Source organism: Homo sapiens, chromosome 6 (genome assembly GCF_000001405.40).
Source record: "Homo sapiens chromosome 6, GRCh38.p14 Primary Assembly".
Lineage (NCBI taxonomy): Eukaryota > Metazoa > Chordata > Mammalia > Primates > Hominidae > Homo > Homo sapiens.
In genome coordinates, this window is record NC_000006.12 from 10,693,533 (window position 1) to 10,710,178 (window position 16,646).

The 16,646-nt window shown below is 41.6% G+C and overlaps 2 protein-coding genes across 14 annotated transcripts in view, besides 3 other annotated features; one reads left to right on the top strand and one right to left on the bottom strand.

The window, feature by feature from the left end:
* The window catches only part of C6orf52 (chromosome 6 open reading frame 52), a 23,470-nt gene extending 22,111 nt beyond the window's left edge, over positions 1–1,359 (bottom strand). For 8 of the 11 annotated variants that reach the window (NR_170935.1, NR_148537.2, NR_148536.2 and 5 more), the window contains exon 1: positions 962–1,084. Coding sequence is in view for 2 of the 11 variants with exons in the window: in XM_011514572.3 (XP_011512874.1) it covers positions 1,093–1,238 (146 nt within the window). In the remaining 9 variants the exon portion in view is untranslated. The other 3 variants (XM_011514572.3, XM_011514574.3, NM_001354357.2) reach the window with 3 other exon arrangements.
* PAK1IP1 (PAK1 interacting protein 1) overlaps positions 1–16,250 on the top strand; it is an 18,918-nt gene extending 2,668 nt beyond the window's left edge. Inside the window, exons 1-10 of one of the 3 annotated variants that reach the window (XM_005249204.3) lie at positions 1,440–1,537; positions 3,789–3,954; positions 8,837–8,957; positions 9,033–9,107; positions 9,873–9,925; positions 10,975–11,120; positions 11,215–11,312; positions 13,883–13,982; positions 15,421–15,544; positions 15,706–16,250. In XM_005249204.3, the coding sequence (XP_005249261.1) occupies positions 1,454–1,537; positions 3,789–3,954; positions 8,837–8,957; positions 9,033–9,107; positions 9,873–9,925; positions 10,975–11,120; positions 11,215–11,312; positions 13,883–13,982; positions 15,421–15,544; positions 15,706–15,920 (1,182 nt within the window). In that variant the 5' untranslated portion in view covers positions 1,440–1,453 and the 3' untranslated portion in view covers positions 15,921–16,250. Of the gene's footprint in view, positions 1–1,439; positions 1,538–3,788; positions 3,955–8,836; positions 8,958–9,032; positions 9,108–9,872; positions 9,926–10,974; positions 11,121–11,214; positions 11,313–13,882; positions 13,983–15,420; positions 15,545–15,705 lie in introns of those variants that run through there. The other 2 variants (NM_017906.3, XM_011514721.1) reach the window with 2 other exon arrangements.
* Positions 998–1,047: an enhancer, noted in NCBI's record as "active region_23970". NCBI's record gives its function as "activates an Ori minimal core promoter by ATAC-STARR-seq in GM12878 lymphoblastoid cells {active_cell/tissue: GM12878}" and the evidence as "EXISTENCE:reporter gene assay evidence [ECO:0000049][PMID:35858748]".
* Positions 1,056–1,658: an enhancer, noted in NCBI's record as "H3K27ac hESC enhancer chr6:10694821-10695423 (GRCh37/hg19 assembly coordinates)". NCBI's record gives its function as "activates a minimal SCP1, AML or CMV promoter by ChIP-STARR-seq in naive H9 embryonic stem cells {active_cell/tissue: H9 hESC(naive)}" and the evidence as "EXISTENCE:reporter gene assay evidence [ECO:0000049][PMID:30033119]".
* Positions 1,088–1,467: an enhancer, noted in NCBI's record as "active region_23971". NCBI's record gives its function as "activates an Ori minimal core promoter by ATAC-STARR-seq in GM12878 lymphoblastoid cells {active_cell/tissue: GM12878}" and the evidence as "EXISTENCE:reporter gene assay evidence [ECO:0000049][PMID:35858748]".
* Positions 16,251–16,646: the final 396 nt, after the last annotated feature.

Genomic DNA, 16,646 nt, shown 5'->3' on the forward strand with positions numbered 1-16,646 from the left:
GGGTCTAAGCGCTGAAGCACTGTATCGCACTTGAAATGGAGGCTGAAGATTTGAGAAGGATGGACTATGCATCTTGTTTACCAAATGACCTACTACGGTGTTTATGAGAACTATACGAACCAAGATTTACTCTGTTGGGAGCTTGTAGGAAAGCTGTAATGTCTAAGACATACCTGAATCTCTAAACCTTATTAAATAAAACTTTTTTTTTCTTTGAAAGGGGGCCTGGCTCGTCCCCCAGACTGGAATGCAGTGGAGCGATCTCGGCTCACTGCAGCCTCGACCTCCTGGGCTCAAGCAATCCTCCCACCTCAGCCTTCCGAGTTGCTGAGGCCACAGGCGGGCGTCGCCATGCTGGGCTAATTTATAACATTTTTGTAGAGACGGCATCAAAATATGTTGCTCAGGCTCACTTTGTTTTCCCAACTCTCAAATGAAGGCTCTGGCCGGGCGCTGTGGCTCACGCCTGCAATCCCAGCAACTTTGGGAGGTCGAGGCAAGCGGATCACCTGCGGTCGGGAGTTCAAAACCAGCCTAGCCAACATGGAGAAACCCTGTCTCTACTAAAAAATACAAAATTAGCCAGGCGTGGTGGCGTATGCCTGTAATCCCAGCTACTCGGGAGGCTGAGGCAGGAGAATTGCTTGAACCCGGGAGGCAGAGGTTGCGGTGAGCCGAAATCGCGCCACCGGACTCCAGCCTGGGCAAAAAGAGCGAAACTCCGTCTCAAAAAAAAAAAAAAAAAAATGAAGGCTCACTGCTCCCTCCCCAGGAGGTGCCGCAACCTTGGCCAATACAGCCCCAGAGTTAGACAAGCAGACAGAGAAAGTGTGCAGGGCTGGGGTTCTGGCCCGGGCAGACGGGAACGCGGACACATCTAGCACTCCGAGTCCGTCAAGGCAGCGCGAGCGCTGCGCCGCTGGAACAAGTCACCGCGAACCCTAATCCCACCCCTCCTTACCCTATTAACGACAGAAAGCCTCGTTCCGCTGGTCCCTGAACAAAAACTCCTACCCTACTAGTACACAGCCCACAACAATGCACGCTGCCGGCGCTACAGCCCCTAAGCAACCGGCCGGAAGTCGGCCCCACCTCCTCCTGATGTCACGGAAATGAAGGGCTTCGCAGAGGATGTCCCGCCCGCTCCCTTCAGACGGGCGTAGCTGGCACCTTCCTGAGATATGCCTGCTTGCCCCCGATTTTTTTCTCCTTGCAGTGAGAACCTCCTCATGTGGCATCTTTACTTATTCTCTTCTTGGAAAATCCATGTGACCTCCCCGCGCTTAAAGTGTTTCCACGTTACAGGCGACTTAAAGGCAGCCCTGGAGCCTGACGTATAATTCGAGCGCCGATGCAGAAAGGAGTCAGGTGTTTTTTTTTTTTTTTTTTTGGTTTCCGGTTCTGTCACCTCCAGGCTGAGCCGGGCTGGCGGAAGAGGCACGTGCGCTGCTGAATGGAGCTGGTCGCTGGTTGCTACGAGCAGGTCCTCTTTGGGTTCGCTGTACACCCGGAGCCCGAGGCTTGCGGCGACCACGAGGTGAGATACCGCGTAGTTAGAGACAGTCGGAGGCGGGGCCGGGAAGGTCGGGTTTGGTTCCTACACAGCAGAGGTGAACATTGGAGCGCCTGCTGTTCACTGGATGATTTGATGAATCAAACCTAAGAGACTTAAGAGAAAAGCTAACCTTTTAAACCGTAGAATGGACATTTTATCAAAATGAGGCAATATCTGCCTTTTCTAGTAGACAAAAGGTCCACGGGACACAAAGGAAACCGGCATTTCTGCATACGGACAAATGAGTCGTAGATTGTGGATTTAAGGATCGATCCCATAAGTTGACAGTATTCAGAATTTAATGAAAGAAGATCTCGCTCTTTTGCTGAATTTCTGCCCTGGAATTTTACAAATTACTAGAACTAGATTAGGATAAATCCCTTATAGGTAAAGCGATACCAATTCATTATTTGTTGGGAACTTATGGCGAGCTGGGCGGTGGAGATGCAAAGATGCTGGAGGTATGGATCTTGCCTTAGAGACGTTGCCTACATAAGGGGTGGAGGACTGAGGAGACGCATAGATGGAGAGAAATTACAGCAGAATATGATATTACTAGATGTGTGAATAGATAAAAAGGTCAAATAAATTATCAGTAGTCAAATAGGTAGATAGGACTATACTCACGACTAGGAATCCGACCTCCTAACATCTAGCTCACTTTTATTCTTGAAGCAATTCTAAGCATTTTCTAGAAAATTGAGTACAGTACTTCTTTATGAAGTCAAGGCGTCGGTCTTTAATTATCCAGAAAATTTGGAAGTATATCACTTGGCCTATTGCTTTCGTTTATTTTGTTTCCTACTCCAGTTATTTGCTCTTTGTCTTTGGCTGAAAAGTGATGTGTTTTGAATAGTCAAAGATGATGCTATTTAATTTTTTTTTTTTGTAGTGAAATTACTTAACTGTGTTCCAGACACACAGTAGTCCTCACAGCAACCCTCTGAGGAGGATGCAGTTATTCTCGTTTTGCAGATGAAGTACCAAAATGTTGGTCCTAGATAGGTTAAGTGACTGCTGAAGGACACACAGATAATAATTGACACAGCTGACCCCAAAATGTCAGGAGCCCCCGAGGGTCTCTGACATTTGAAACTCTTAACCATTACCCTATACTTCTACTAAATCTAAGCAATAGCCTAGATAACCTACATTATGTGAATTTTAAAAGGTTATTATTTGATTTAAGGCCATAGCAGACCCGCAAAAATGCTTGATTCAAAGGAGGCCCCCTTGGTCTTAAATGATGGAAGGAGTATCTTCTGTAACTAAGGACCTGATTTGCAGTAACACATGTTCAAAGAAGTTTGATGGGTTTTTTTCTTTTTCGGTTTGTTTTGCAAATACTTTTTGATGCAGTTCCTTCAGTTTAAGGAGTGAGTGAGTGTGTGTGTGTGTCTGTGTATTTTGCTGTCATGCTTCGCACTCATCCAATCAGACTTCCTAATGCTATTGTCACATGGCAATAAGCACAGAGTTCCTGAGATTTCGTTATTGGTGATTCTCTAGAGCTTACGTTGGTACTCATGGAAACATACCTTTACTCTGTTGGTTTTTCTTTATAAGACTTGTCCACTGGGCGCGGTGGCTCATGCCTGCAATCCCAGCACTTTGGGAGGGCGAGGCAGGTGGATCACCTGAGGTCAGGGGTTCAAGACCAGCCTGGCCAATGTGGTGAAACCCTGTCTCTACCAAAATTAGCTGGGCATGATGGCAAGTGCTTGTAATCCCAGCTACTCAGGAGGCTTAGGTGGGAGAATCGCAGTTCATTGCTGTGTATCAACTGCTTGGAATAGTGCCAGACACATAGTAGGCACTCATTATTTGAAAGAATAAATTCAAATAAAAATGTGAATATCTGAAAAAATAAATTAAGTCTCACATATAAAGTAAATACACTAAAGAGTTAAAGATTTGTGTAGGATCTAAAAGTCTTCCTTAGTCCAGTCTCCATTACTGTGTTCTAGAGTGATGATACCCAGTGTTGCCTGCCCACCTCCTTGCTTTACCTTCCTCATCAAGTCTCAAGTCCTTTGTGGTAAACTACATGTCATTTTGTAGTTTAACATATCATTTTTCCATTTATAGGATCCATTGATAGTTTTCATGAATCGTGGAATGATTTATCTTTTCAGAAACAGATAAATGGTTCCGTGATTCATGAAAACTACCAGTGGATAGAGTTGGTAGAACTGTGGTGTGACTGGCATTAATTGTATGTTTTCATCTTCAGCAGCAATGGACTCTTGTGGCTGACTTCACTCACCATGCTCACACTGCCTCCTTGTCAGCAGTAGCTGTAAATAGTCGTTTTGTGGTCACTGGGAGCAAAGATGAAACAATTCACATTTATGACATGAAAAAGAAGATTGAGCATGGGGCTCTAGTGCATCACAGTGGTAAGAAAATTGTATCCCTTAAGATGAGAACATAGAGGTTTTCTTTACAATTTGACTTCAGTTGAACAATTTGTTGTATCTATTTTATAGCAGATTCTTTGCTAGAAGATAGAGGAATTTTAAAAAAAAATGGTTTCTTAGCCTGGCACAATGGCTCACACCTGTAATCCCAGCACTTTGGGAGGCTGAGGTGGGTGGATCACCTGAGGTCAGTAGCTGGAGACCAGACCTGTCTCTACTAAAATACAAAAAAAATTAGCCAGGTGTGGTGGCACACACCTGTAGTCACAGCTACTCGGGAGGCGGAGGCAGGGGAATCGTTTGAACCCGTGAGGCAGAGATTGCAGTAAGCTGAGATCACGCCACTGCATGCCAGCCTGGGCAACAGAGTGAGACTCTGTCTCAAAAAAAAAAAAAAAAGGTTTCTTGCTCTGGGTTGGCTTACGGTCTGTATTGGGAGACAGAAAGGAGGCATTTAACCCAGTCAGAGTGAGGTTTTCACTGAAACCTTCCTTAAAATGACATCTGAATTATCTTAAAAGAGAAATGTCAGTTATTGGGCAGGTAAAGTTTGCAAGGAGGGAGAAAGGACATTCCAGGCAGAGCCGGCAGTGTGAGGAGCACAAGTAGTAGCATCATAGCAATATCTGACTTTATTGAGGGCATATTATGTACCCCTCTGTGTGCCAAGAAAGTAGAAGAGAACACCTAGTTTCAAAGATGTAGCGTCACAGCAATATCTGACTTTATTGAGGGCATATTATGTACCCCTCTGTGTGCCAAGAAAGTAGAAGAGAACACCTAGTTTCAAAGATGTAGCGTCATAGCAATATCTGACTTTATTGAGGGCATATTATGTACCCCTCTGTGTGCCAAGAAAGTAGAAGAGAACACCTAGTTTCAAAGATGTTACTTGACTTGCCGAAGGTCTCAAACACTGGAACTAGAACTTGAACCTGGGCCTAGAGCCCATGCTTTTGACCACTGGTGTTCATAGGGAACCGTAAGCAGTTCCGGATTATGAGAAGGTTAAATTGGGAGTTTGAGGGGCTAGAGAAGTAGATGGGACCAGATCCTGGAGTCCTTGAGAGAGCCAGTTAGAGACTGAATTGGGAGGGAGGGAGGGAGCAAGCTAGCAAATGAATGATGTGGGCTTGAGGAAAGTACTGCCAGTTTGTATCGGAGGGGTGCTGACTGAGAACCCCAACAGAAGGACTGATGAAGGCCTGCCCCATTGGAATTGGCAGCTACGGATTGAGTAACATCAGTTTGCAAGATTTTCTGAGTTTATTCAGTAATAAGCCACAGACATTTCCCTAGAGAGAGGAAGGTTACTTGGTGTGTGCGGTAGAAGGATTGAGTTACAAGAGAATTAAGAATTTTGGTGAAGGAGTGGATTAGGTTGTCAACATAGAGAAAATGTGTTGTCAAAGGCCAGGCGCGGTGGCTCGCGCCTGTAATCCCAGCACTTTGGGAGGCCGAGGTGGGCCGAGCGTGAGGTCAGGAGATTGAGACCATCCTGGCTAACAAGGAGAAACCCCGTCTCTACGAAAAATACATAACCTTAGCTGGGCATGGTGGCACGTACCTGTAGTCCCAGCTACTTAGGAGGCTGAGGCAGGAGAATCGCTTGAACCTGGGGAGGCAGAGTGTGCAGTGAGCTGAGACTGTGCCACTGCACTCTAGCCTAGGCGACAGAGCGAGACTCTGTCTCAAAAAAAAAAAAAAAAAAAAAAGAGGAAAAGAAAAGAAAATGTGTTGTCAAGGGCCTGGAGATCTCTGAAATACAAAAGCAGGTGGAGTGTGAGTGCAGAGAGGCATGAAAGGGATGGGAAGATGTGAGCTTGTGGTCAGCAAATAGCTTCCTAGAGGTCAAGAGTTCTAACGTGGAACAGCTCTATGTGGTAACGATGCCCAGGCTGTGGGTGTAGGGGACTGAAATGCAGGGGAGGCAAAGGTCACTGGAGTTGAAGTCAAGAAGTAGTACTACAGTTCCCGGCTTGTGGTTTGGTTTTCCACACTGGTGGTCAAGGTACCCAGGATAGTGGCAGAATCAAGGGAGAGAAAGACTGAACAGGTAAATTTTTTTCTTCAGTACCAAACATTTTATGCTGTTTTTGTTGCATTTTCCCAGGGGACAGAGAATGAGGAGTAACTCAGCCAAGAAAGTTGGTTTTCTGCAAAGAAAGGCAGATAAAATGGTGCCCTTTTTCCTACCCAATCTTACATGTATTTCAGAGGATCCACACCAGGCATTGGTTTCCAGCAGTAAATTTGCAGCGATAAATGGCTTCCTTCTATTAGGTGTTCCCTTAGTTTATTCAGACTGCTATAACAAAATACCTTAGACTGAATAATTTATCAATAATAGAGATTTATTTCTCACAGTTGTAGAGGCTGGGAAGTCTAAGATTAAGGCACCAGCAGATTTTCTTGTCTCGTAAGGACTGGCTCTCTGTTGCTGTGTCCTCATGGTAGAAGGGCAAAGCAGATCCCTGCACAATTCTGTAAGGTCAAGCTTGAGAGTTGGAGCCAGTTTAAAAAAAGCAAACAAACAAACGAAAAAAACAACTTTTTTTTTGGCGGGGGCGGGGGGGCTTCTCGCTCTGTCACCCAGGCTGGAGTGCAGTGGCGCGATCTCGGCTCACTGCAGCTTCTGCCTCCTGGGTTTAAGCGATTCTCCTGCCTCAGCCTCCCAGGTAGCTTGGATTATAGGTGCCTGCCACCACGCCCAGCTAATTTTTGTATTTTTAGTAGAGACGGGTCTAACCATGTTGGCCAAGCTGGTCTTGAACTCTTGACCTCAAGTGATCCGCCCGCCTCAGCCTCCCAAAGTGCTGGGATTACAGGCGTGAGCCACCGCGCCCTGCCAAAAAAAACAACTTTTATAATGTCGCCAGTCCTCTAATCCCGTTCATGAGGGTTTGCCCTTATGACTTAGTCACCATCACCTCCTAAAGGTCTCACCTCTTAAACTATCACATTGGCAACTAAGTTTCAGCAAATGAATTTTGGGGGACACTTTCACACATGGCAGACTGTCCATTGCTGCTTTAACAGCTGTCTTGCTCTTCATCAGAAGCTGAGCTTTGAGTGATTCAAATATACATTCTTTTTTTCTCTATCTCCTAGTCCTAGTTTGTTACAAAGAAGGCTTCTCTCTCAGGTTTGGAAGAAATAAGTTAAATTTGATCTGCCCAAACCCATTAGTACAAGTGTTCAACAATAAGAAAAGGAATTACATAGAAGGAGTTTAGATTGGGGGGTGAATGAAGTAGGGCTCTTGGTTTCTTGGTTTCCTTTATTTCTTGTATAAATCCTTTTTTTCTTTTTTCTTTTTTTCCTTCAACTTTTAAGTTCAGGGGTACACATGCAGGATGTGCAGGTTTGTTACGTAGGTAAACGTCCCATGGTGGTTTGCTTTACAGATCATCCCATCACCTAGGTATTAAGCCCAGCATCCATTAGCTGTTCTTTCTAATGCTCTCCTTCCCGCAACCCTTCCCCTCCCACAGGCCCCAGTGTGTGTTGTTTTTCCCCTGTGTGAGAACATGTGGTGTTTGGTTTTCTTTTTCTTTTCTTTTCTATTTCTTTCTTTCCTTCTTTTTTGAGATGCAGTCTTTCTCTGTCACCCAGGCTGGAGTGCAGTGGCAGAGCTCGGCTCACTGCAACCTCCATCTCCCGGGTTCAAGCGATTCTTGTGCCTCAGCCTCCTGAGTAGCTGGGACTACAGGCACACACCACCACATCCAGCTAATTTTTGTATTTTCAGTAGAGACGGGGTTTCGCCATGTTGGCCAGGCTGGTATTGAACTCCTGACCTCAAGTGATCTGCCTGTCTCGGTCTCCCAAAGTGCTGGGATTACAGGCATGAGCCACCTCGCCTAGCCAGTGTTTAATTTTCTCTTCCTGCATTAGTTTGCTGGGGATAATGGCTTCCAACTCCATCCACATCCCTGCAAAGGACATGATCTCATTCCTTTTTATGGGTGCATAAATCCTATTTTTCTAAGAGTTGCTAATAGATAAGCTTTTTTCTAGGGAAGCAAATGTGGGAAACCAAACTTTCCAAAGTGAGAAATAGGATAATAGGGAGAGGAAAATATGAACAAATGAATGAGAAGTGTGTGGAAATGGATCAAAACAGATCTGAGTGATAAGGATTGGATTGTGGCTGATTGGGTAGCTAATTCACTGTTTAGAAAGTGGAAGTCATGTGGCAGTACACCTGGTTTGTTCCCCAGATTAGCTTGTTAGCTGATTAGTTTTGTTTACTTCTGCTCAAACTATCCTAGCCAGCCACCTCCTAAATTTATAATTTGAAGACATAAAGCAAGGACGTGAACTGATTTGTTCAAATCTGTATCTAAACTGGAGATACTCTGCTGAAAATATTTGCATAGATTTGAACAACTGTACTTACATGAAAAAATTTAAGGTATGTTTTAGTAATATTAAGACATTGAGGCCAGGCACAGTGGCTCACACCTGTAATCCCAGCACTTTGGGAGGCTGAGGTGGGCAGATCACTTGGGCCCAGGAGTTCAAGACCAGCCTGGGCAACATGGCATGGTGAAACACTGTATCTACAAAAAATACAAAAATTAGCTAGGTATATTGATGTGCACCTGTAGTCCCAGTTACTCAGGAGGCTGAGGTGGGAAGATTGCTTGAACCCAGGAGGCAGAGGTTGCAGTGGGATAAGATCATGCCATAGCACTTCAGCCTGGGTAACAAGAGTGAAACCCTGCCTCAAAAAAAAAAAAAAGAAAAAGAAAAAAAGGTATTGAGTGTTTTACTTAGCATAGCATAGCCTTCAAATCAGAAATGGAGTTTGCATTTAAAATGAATATTATTTTTGCCTATTTTGGTTTTTCCATAGGTACAATAACTTGCCTGAAATTCTATGGCAACAGGCATTTAATCAGTGGAGCGGAAGATGGACTCATCTGTATCTGGGATGCAAAGAAATGGGAATGCCTGAAGTCAATTAAAGCTCACAAGTGAGTCGGGCTCTTTCCCTTTGGCATTCTCGATGTGCCAGTCAAGTTGGGGACTAACTTTTGGTTTCATTATAGAGGACAGGTGACCTTCCTTTCTATTCACCCATCTGGCAAGTTGGCCCTGTCGGTTGGTACAGATAAAACTTTAAGGTAAGTCATTAATGCTCAAGAGCATTTATCTAAGGTGTGTGTTTTACTACAGCTCTCCACCATCTAAAAATACTGTTATACAAGGGAAAGGTCAAAAGCTGGTGAACCTTTTCATAGTGGTTCATAGTGGTAGAATGAAAATGACAAGCTCTGTTTTCTTTCTTTTTTTTTTGAGACAGAGTCTCGCTCTGTCTCCCTGCTCTGTCGCCCAGGCTGGAGTGCGGCGGCGTGATCTTGGCTCACTGCAAGCTCCGCCTCCCAGGTTCATGCCATTCTCCTGCCTCAGCCTCCCAAGTAGCTGGAACTACAGGCGCCCACCACCACGCCCGGCTATTTTTTGTATTTTTAGTAGAGACGGGGTTTCACCGTGTTAGCCAGGATGGTCTTGATCTCCTGACCTCATGATCCGCCCGCCTCAGCCTCCGAAAGTGCTGGGATTACAGGCGTGAGCCACCACGCCCAGCCAACAAGCTCCGTTTTCAAACATGCAATTATGCTGCAGTCATCATAGCTGTGAATTGAAGATTTTAGAAAGGGAAACCTTTTGAAAATACAATGGATACGAGATGTTAAAGGGATATGGGAATGAAGCAAGTCTTAATCCTGCCTCATAATATTTCAAAATATTGCTGTAAGGAAGATAGCAGGTCTTCTAAATAGCCAATATTTAGTAAAATGTCACTTAAGTCTTCATTATGCTTGTTCTTTTACGCTTAGTAAAAGTTAGTTGGTGATCACACCGTAAGTGAGCTTCCTGTTTTGCAGAACGTGGAATCTTGTAGAAGGAAGATCAGCATTCATAAAAAATATAAAACAAAGTGAGTATTTTTGTTTGAAATGCAGGTTGAGCATTCCTAATCTGGAAATCTGAAATGCTCCAAAATCTGAAACTTTTTGAGCACTGATGTGGTGCCTCAAGTAGAAAATTCAACACCTTACCTCATGATGGGTCACAGTCAGAACCTTGTTTCATACACAAAATTATTTAAAATATTGTGTAAAATTACCTTCCGGCTAGGTGTATATGAAGCATAGATGAATTTCATGTTTAGACTTGAAACATGAGTTGCATGGGTTTTATCCTCGAGATATTTCATTGTATATATGCAGATATTCCAAAATCCAAAATCGTTCTGGTCCCAAGCATTTTGGATAAGGGATACTCAACCTGTATATTTTACAGTGACTTAATGGAATATGAATATAGATATACATTTTTACATGTGTGTATGTTACACATTTATTTCCCTGCATGGTGGTGGTTACCTCTGAGCAAATGCCTTGGGTTACTTTCTTTTCCCATTTTAGACTAGATTCTTTTTGTGGCTCTGCCACCTGCCTTTGATTTTTATTTTGTTTCATTTTATTTTATTTTATATTTTTTATTTTATTTTATTTTTTGAGATGGAGTCTCGCTCTATCACCCAGGCTGGAGTGCAGTGGCGCTATCTCAGCTCCCTACAACCTCTGCCTTCTGAGTTCGTTATTCTCCTGCCTCACCCTCCCAAGCAGCTGGGATTACAGGCGCGTGCCACCATGCTTGGCTAATTTTTTGTATTTTTTGGTAGAGAGATGGGGTTTCACCATGTTTGCCAGGCTGGTCTCAAACTCCTGGCCTTAAGTGATCCACCCACCTTGGCCTCCCAAAGTGCTGGCATTACAGGTGTGAGCCACTGCACCTGGCCCACCTTTGACTTTTTGAACCTAGATTATTTTCTAAAAAACTTGACTTGTAAAATGTGTTACGAAGATGAAATAGGATAATGAATTTGAAAATGCACAGTATAAATATTTGCTATTTTTATTACTATGATCATTTTATGTTTTATTTACAAAATAAATAAACTTCGTTTTTTTCCACTTACAGATGCTCACATAGTAGAATGGTCCCCAAGAGGAGAGCAGTATGTAGTTATCATACAGAATAAAATAGACATCTATCAGCTTGACACTGCATCCATTAGTGGCACCATCACAAATGAAAAGAGAATTTCCTCTGTTAAATTTCTTTCAGTAAGTAATCAGAAATCATTGACCAAAGTTTGTGGTGATGGTTGGAACTGTTGATGACATTCTGGATGTTATTACTCTTTTTCCTCTCTCCTAGGAGTCTGTCCTTGCAGTGGCTGGAGATGAAGAAGTTATAAGGTTTTTTGACTGTGATTCACTAGTGTGCCTCTGCGAATTTAAAGCTCATGAAAACAGGTATTTTTACCAATCTTTGGTGTATATGTCTAGTCTTAATAAAAGGTATATATGCAGTAGTTTCATAAGCCAGGTTATATGTTTTTATTAACAACTGCAGAAATAATCAGACATATCTACATGTACAGTATATGGTATCTGTAGTCTAATAAGGTGGTGGAAGATGTTATCTTCCTGGCATTTAATAATGCAAAAGTGGGCCGGGAGCAGTAGCTCACGCCTGTAATCCCAACACTTTGGGAGGCTGAGGCGGGCGGATCAGGAGGTCAAGAGATCAAGACCATCCTGGCCAACATGGTGAAACCCCGTCTCTACTAAAAATAAAAAAATTGGTGTGGTGGTGCACGCTGGTAGTCCCAGTTACTCGAGAGGGTGAGGCAGGAGAATCACTTGAACCCTGGAGGCGGAGGTTGCAGTGAGCCAAGATCGCACCACTGCACTCCAACCTGGTGACAGAGTGAGACTCTGTCTCAAAAAAAATAATAATAATAATGCAAAAGTGGTGAAATTGTTTTCTGGACTGTCATTTACACAAGGTATTTTTTAAATGTCTGTTAGACTTGGAGCCTGAAATCAAGCATATTTGAACAAACAAAAGACTAAACAATCTTGAGCTTTGTTCCCATCTACTTTTGTCCTTTTACATAAGTCCCCTTGCCTACTTCTTCCCCCTTTCCATGTGATTTTTTTTCCTGCAGGAGAAGTGAATTGACGTTATTGAGTTCCTGTTTTGTGCCAGCTTTTATTACCTTTTAATGCTTTCTCTATTTCTAGGGGGTAGATAGTCTCAAAGTAAGTAGTTAAGTGGTTGGCCAATATTACCCCAATAGTGGAGCTGAGAGCTGAACCCGGTTTTATCTGACTCTTATATCCCTGCTTTCTCCAGTAATTTTGAAAAAGGTGATCTAATATACAGAGTTAGATTTTGATGTGATCCATTTGCATGTTCTATGTCTCAAATGAGTCTTAATTCTTATTTCTTAAACAGTGGTTAAGTTTTAAGAAATCCATACTTAGAGTACTGCAGTCAGTAGTATAAAGGCCTTACTCTTCTCCTATATTGGGAAGTGAATATATTTTTCAAAGTCGCCCATTCCAGATGTACTAATAACACTTAAGATATTTGGCCATTCATTCATTTAACAAGTATTCATTGAGCATCATTATGAAATACTACACGAAGTATTTAATGATGAACAGAAAAGACAGGAGCTTGTGCTCTCATGGCTCTTACATTATAAGGAGGCAATAGATTATAAGCAAGCAGATCATTATAACAGGATGGAAATAGAAAAGTAGAGTGATTAAAGATTAACAAGGGTAATTGGTTTAGATAGGATGATGAGGGAAGAAGATGTGAGACCTTAAGAATGAAAAAGGAGTTAGTTTTAAAAAGAGAGAGGCACAGGTGCAAAGACCCTGAGGGAGAACAGAGCTTGGTGTATTTTAGGAGCAGATAGAAGACCTGTGTGACTAGGTGAGAATGAGCAAGGAGAAGACGGTGGAAGCCAATCGGTGCCTGTAATCATCATAATTTTTCTTACTATGGAAAAATTTAAAAGCATTTAGACTGGTTTAAGGTGCTAACTCTTTAAGACCCACCATCAGCTTTAGCAACTGTCACTGTGTGGCCAGTTTTGCTTCATCTATATGCCCAGCCACTTCTTCCTCTCCCATCTTATTTTAAAGTAGATCCCAGTTTTGTAGGGTTTTAAGCCTGCAAGTTACATGATTTGATTTACATTTTTAAAAATTTCTGGCCAGGTGCAGTGGCTCATGCCTGTAATCCTGGCACTTTGGGAGGCTGAGGTAGGCAGATCACAAGGTCAGGAGTTTGAGACCAGCCTGACCAACATGGTGAAACCCCGTCTCTACTAAAAATACAAAAATTAGCCAGGTATGGTGGCGCACGCCTGTAATCCCAGCTACTCGGGAGGCTGAGGCAGGAGAATCGTTTGAACCCAGGAGGCGGAGGTTGTGGTTAGCTGAGATAGCCGAGATCCCACCACCGCACTCCAGCCTGGGCGATAGAGCAAGGCTCCATCTCAAAAAAAAAAAAAAGAAAAAGAAAGAAAAGAAAATTGTTAAGGGGCAAAAAAGAAGCAGAAAGGCCAATCAGGCTACTTCTGTGATCCAGAGGAAAAATGAGAGTGGCTTAGACTAACAGTGGTGGGACTGGAGATGAGGGAAATGGATGTGTGGGAGAGGCCTGGATTCATCGTTTCTGTTGTCTTTTCTCTCCTTACTGAACTTGGAGTTTCTTGAGGTGATGGGCTTTGTTTTACTCATCTTTAGTTCCTTTGTGATAACCTGATTATTTATAGTTATCTGTTTTCTTTTCAACTTTTCCTTCAGATATGGTTGGCAGTGGATTTTATCTTGTTTTTTGGGCCTGGATATATCTCATTAATGGGAATGCGAAGCATAGCTATATTTTAAGGCACCATTCATTGAGCAGTTTGGAAATACTTGAAACATTGAGAAAGCACTAGTCTTTGTGTGTAATTTTATAACAATATTAGACTATTTGGAGGAAAAGATCTTTTATGGTGTTAATATTTCTATCCTAGGGTAAAGGACATGTTCAGTTTTGAAATTCCAGAGCATCATGTTATTGTTTCAGCATCGAGTGATGGTTTCATCAAAATGTGGAAGCTTAAGCAGGATAAGGTCAGTGCTTCAACACAATCTAAATGTACTTTAATACAAGTCTTGCTCATAAGTGAGGTGGAATTTTTTTAAGGGTCATAAGACATAGGTCTTTAAACTTTTTAAATCTCTTCCAGGCATGATTGATATTAATGGTTTTAAAATTAGGGTTCCCAGGGAGCTGCCTTGATGGTTGTCATTTCTGAGTGTGAGCTGGTGGGATCCCAGAACTCGCGCTGCTCTTTTTAGTCAGAGAAGCTCTACTTTCCTCTCTTGAATATTGGAGTTCTCTGGAAGCTCTTAGGTAAAAATACTGCCATTGCTAAAAGTAATTTGGAAGCTCCTGATCAATTACAAAATTAACAAACCATTTAAACCAGACACTTTGGAAAATTGAATTCCCTCCTGTAGTCTCCTTACAGTCTCTCTTGGTTTATTCTTTGTTCTCTCATAAACACATTCTGTGAATATGGTTTGTTGAATGTCTCTTTCCAAGGTTCTTTGTTCAGCCCTGGAAATAAGACCTGATTCCTTTCTTTAGAATTTTCTTTTTTTTTTTTTTTTTTTAAGTATACAATTCAGTGATTTAATTTAGCATGTTCATGGAGTTGTACAATCATAATCGTAATTAATTTTAGAATATTTTCATCACACCAAAGAGAAGCTCCATACCCATTAGCAGTCACCCCCCATCCTCTCCTTTCCCCCCACTGCCAGTCCCTGGTAACTAGTAATCTGTTTTTTGTTTTTATGGATTTGCCTATTCTGGACATTTCATATATGGAATCACACAACGTTTGGCCTTTTGTGACGGGCGTTTTTCACTTCGTGTATGTTTCTAAGGTTCATCATGTTATAGCATATGTTAGTACTTCACTACTTTTTATGACTGAATACTACGCCGTTGTGTGGATATACCACTTTTTATGTATCCATTCATCAGGTGATAGACATTTGGATTGTTTCCACCTTTTGGATGTTATGAATAGTGCTTCTGTGAACATTCATATGCAAATTTTTGTGTGGATATATGTTTTTTTTTCTTTTTTTTTATACTTTAAGTTTTAGGGTGCATGTGTACAACGTGCAGGTTAGTTATATATGTATACATGTGCTATGTTGGTGTGCTGCACCCATTAACTTCGTCATTTAACATTAGGTGTATCTCCTGATGCTATTCCTCCCCCTGCCCCCCACCCCACAACAGGCCCTGGTGTGTGATGTTCCCCTTCCTGTGTCTGTGTGTTCTCATTGTTCAATTCCCACCTATGAGTGAGAACATGCAAAATTGGCTCTGTGAATAACAGTCAAACTAATCATGAGTGAAGATTATATGTTGCTTCTGAATATCATATTTTGTACTCAAGAAAATACAGGAAGTTTTAAATTAAGGTAACTTGATTATGGAAAAAGAAATTATTGAAAATGCACATTATGAATGTTTGTTTCTTCTGTTTAGAAAGTTCCCCCATCTTTACTCTGTGAAATAAACACTAATGCCAGGCTGACGTGTCTTGGAGTGTGGCTAGACAAAGTGGCAGACATGAAAGAAAGCCTTCCTCCAGCTGCAGAGCCTTCTCCTGGTAATCGAATTTGATTGTTTTGAAATTTTGAATAATCTATTATCTCTTAAATTGTAGAAGTGGAGGAGATCCAGATAATTTCACTTTATTGACAGCTTGTGTTTATTTCATTCAAAGGGGAAAACAGTCTTTTTTTAAAAGCACTCTCTTTTGTGTTTTAGTAAGTAAAGAACAGTCCAAAATTGGCAAAAAGGAGCCTGGTGACACAGTGCACAAAGAAGAAAAGCGGTCAAAACCTAACACAAAGAAACGCGGTTTAACAGGTGACAGTAAGAAAGCAACAAAAGAAAGTGGCCTGATATCAACCAAGAAGAGGAAAATGGTAGAAATGTTGGAAAAGAAGAGGAAAAAGAAGAAAATAAAAACAATGCAGTGAATCACAGATGTCTCCTGAAAGAACTCTTTTAGATGAAATCATTCTACTCAAATGTACCTTAATTTTTTTTTTTTCCCTGAGTAAAAGCAAGAAATTTCTTCCTTTGGAAAAAATATATATATTAAAAAACCACTTTTAGATGGTTTTTTTTAAAAAAAAAAAAAAAACTGGTAAAATTACTTTTGGCAGACAGTGTTTTATGAATTATGTATCATGTTGATATATAATATGTTAATGTGTCATGTAATTTTTACTTTGTACAAAGCAAATAAAGATCTTTCTCAAAATATACTGTAAAATAATATAAAATATTGAACACATTCTTTATCAGATTTGGATGAAGGAGTCATTATTCAAAATTTTCTCTTAAATGGGAAAGAATTTAAGAACTGCCTTTGGCTTCTTCAAATGGTAAGTAGTAATTTTAGATTTTCATACCAACCAGACAAACTTAAAAGATTATACATATATAATTATACATATCTATGAAACAAACATATGCTTAAGTGTAGGACCACGTACCTAAGATTATAGAGAGATTGCCAGACTTTAAACTACTTTGCTTCCAAGTAGTAGATGTACAAAATAATTTAAGGACGGGAAAATGATCTTTTCTTTTTTTCTTTTTTTTTTGAGACGGAGTCTTGCTCTGTTGCCCAGGCTGGAGTGCAGTGGCGCGATCTTAGCTCACTGCAACCTCCGTCTCCTGGGTTCAGGCTATTCTCC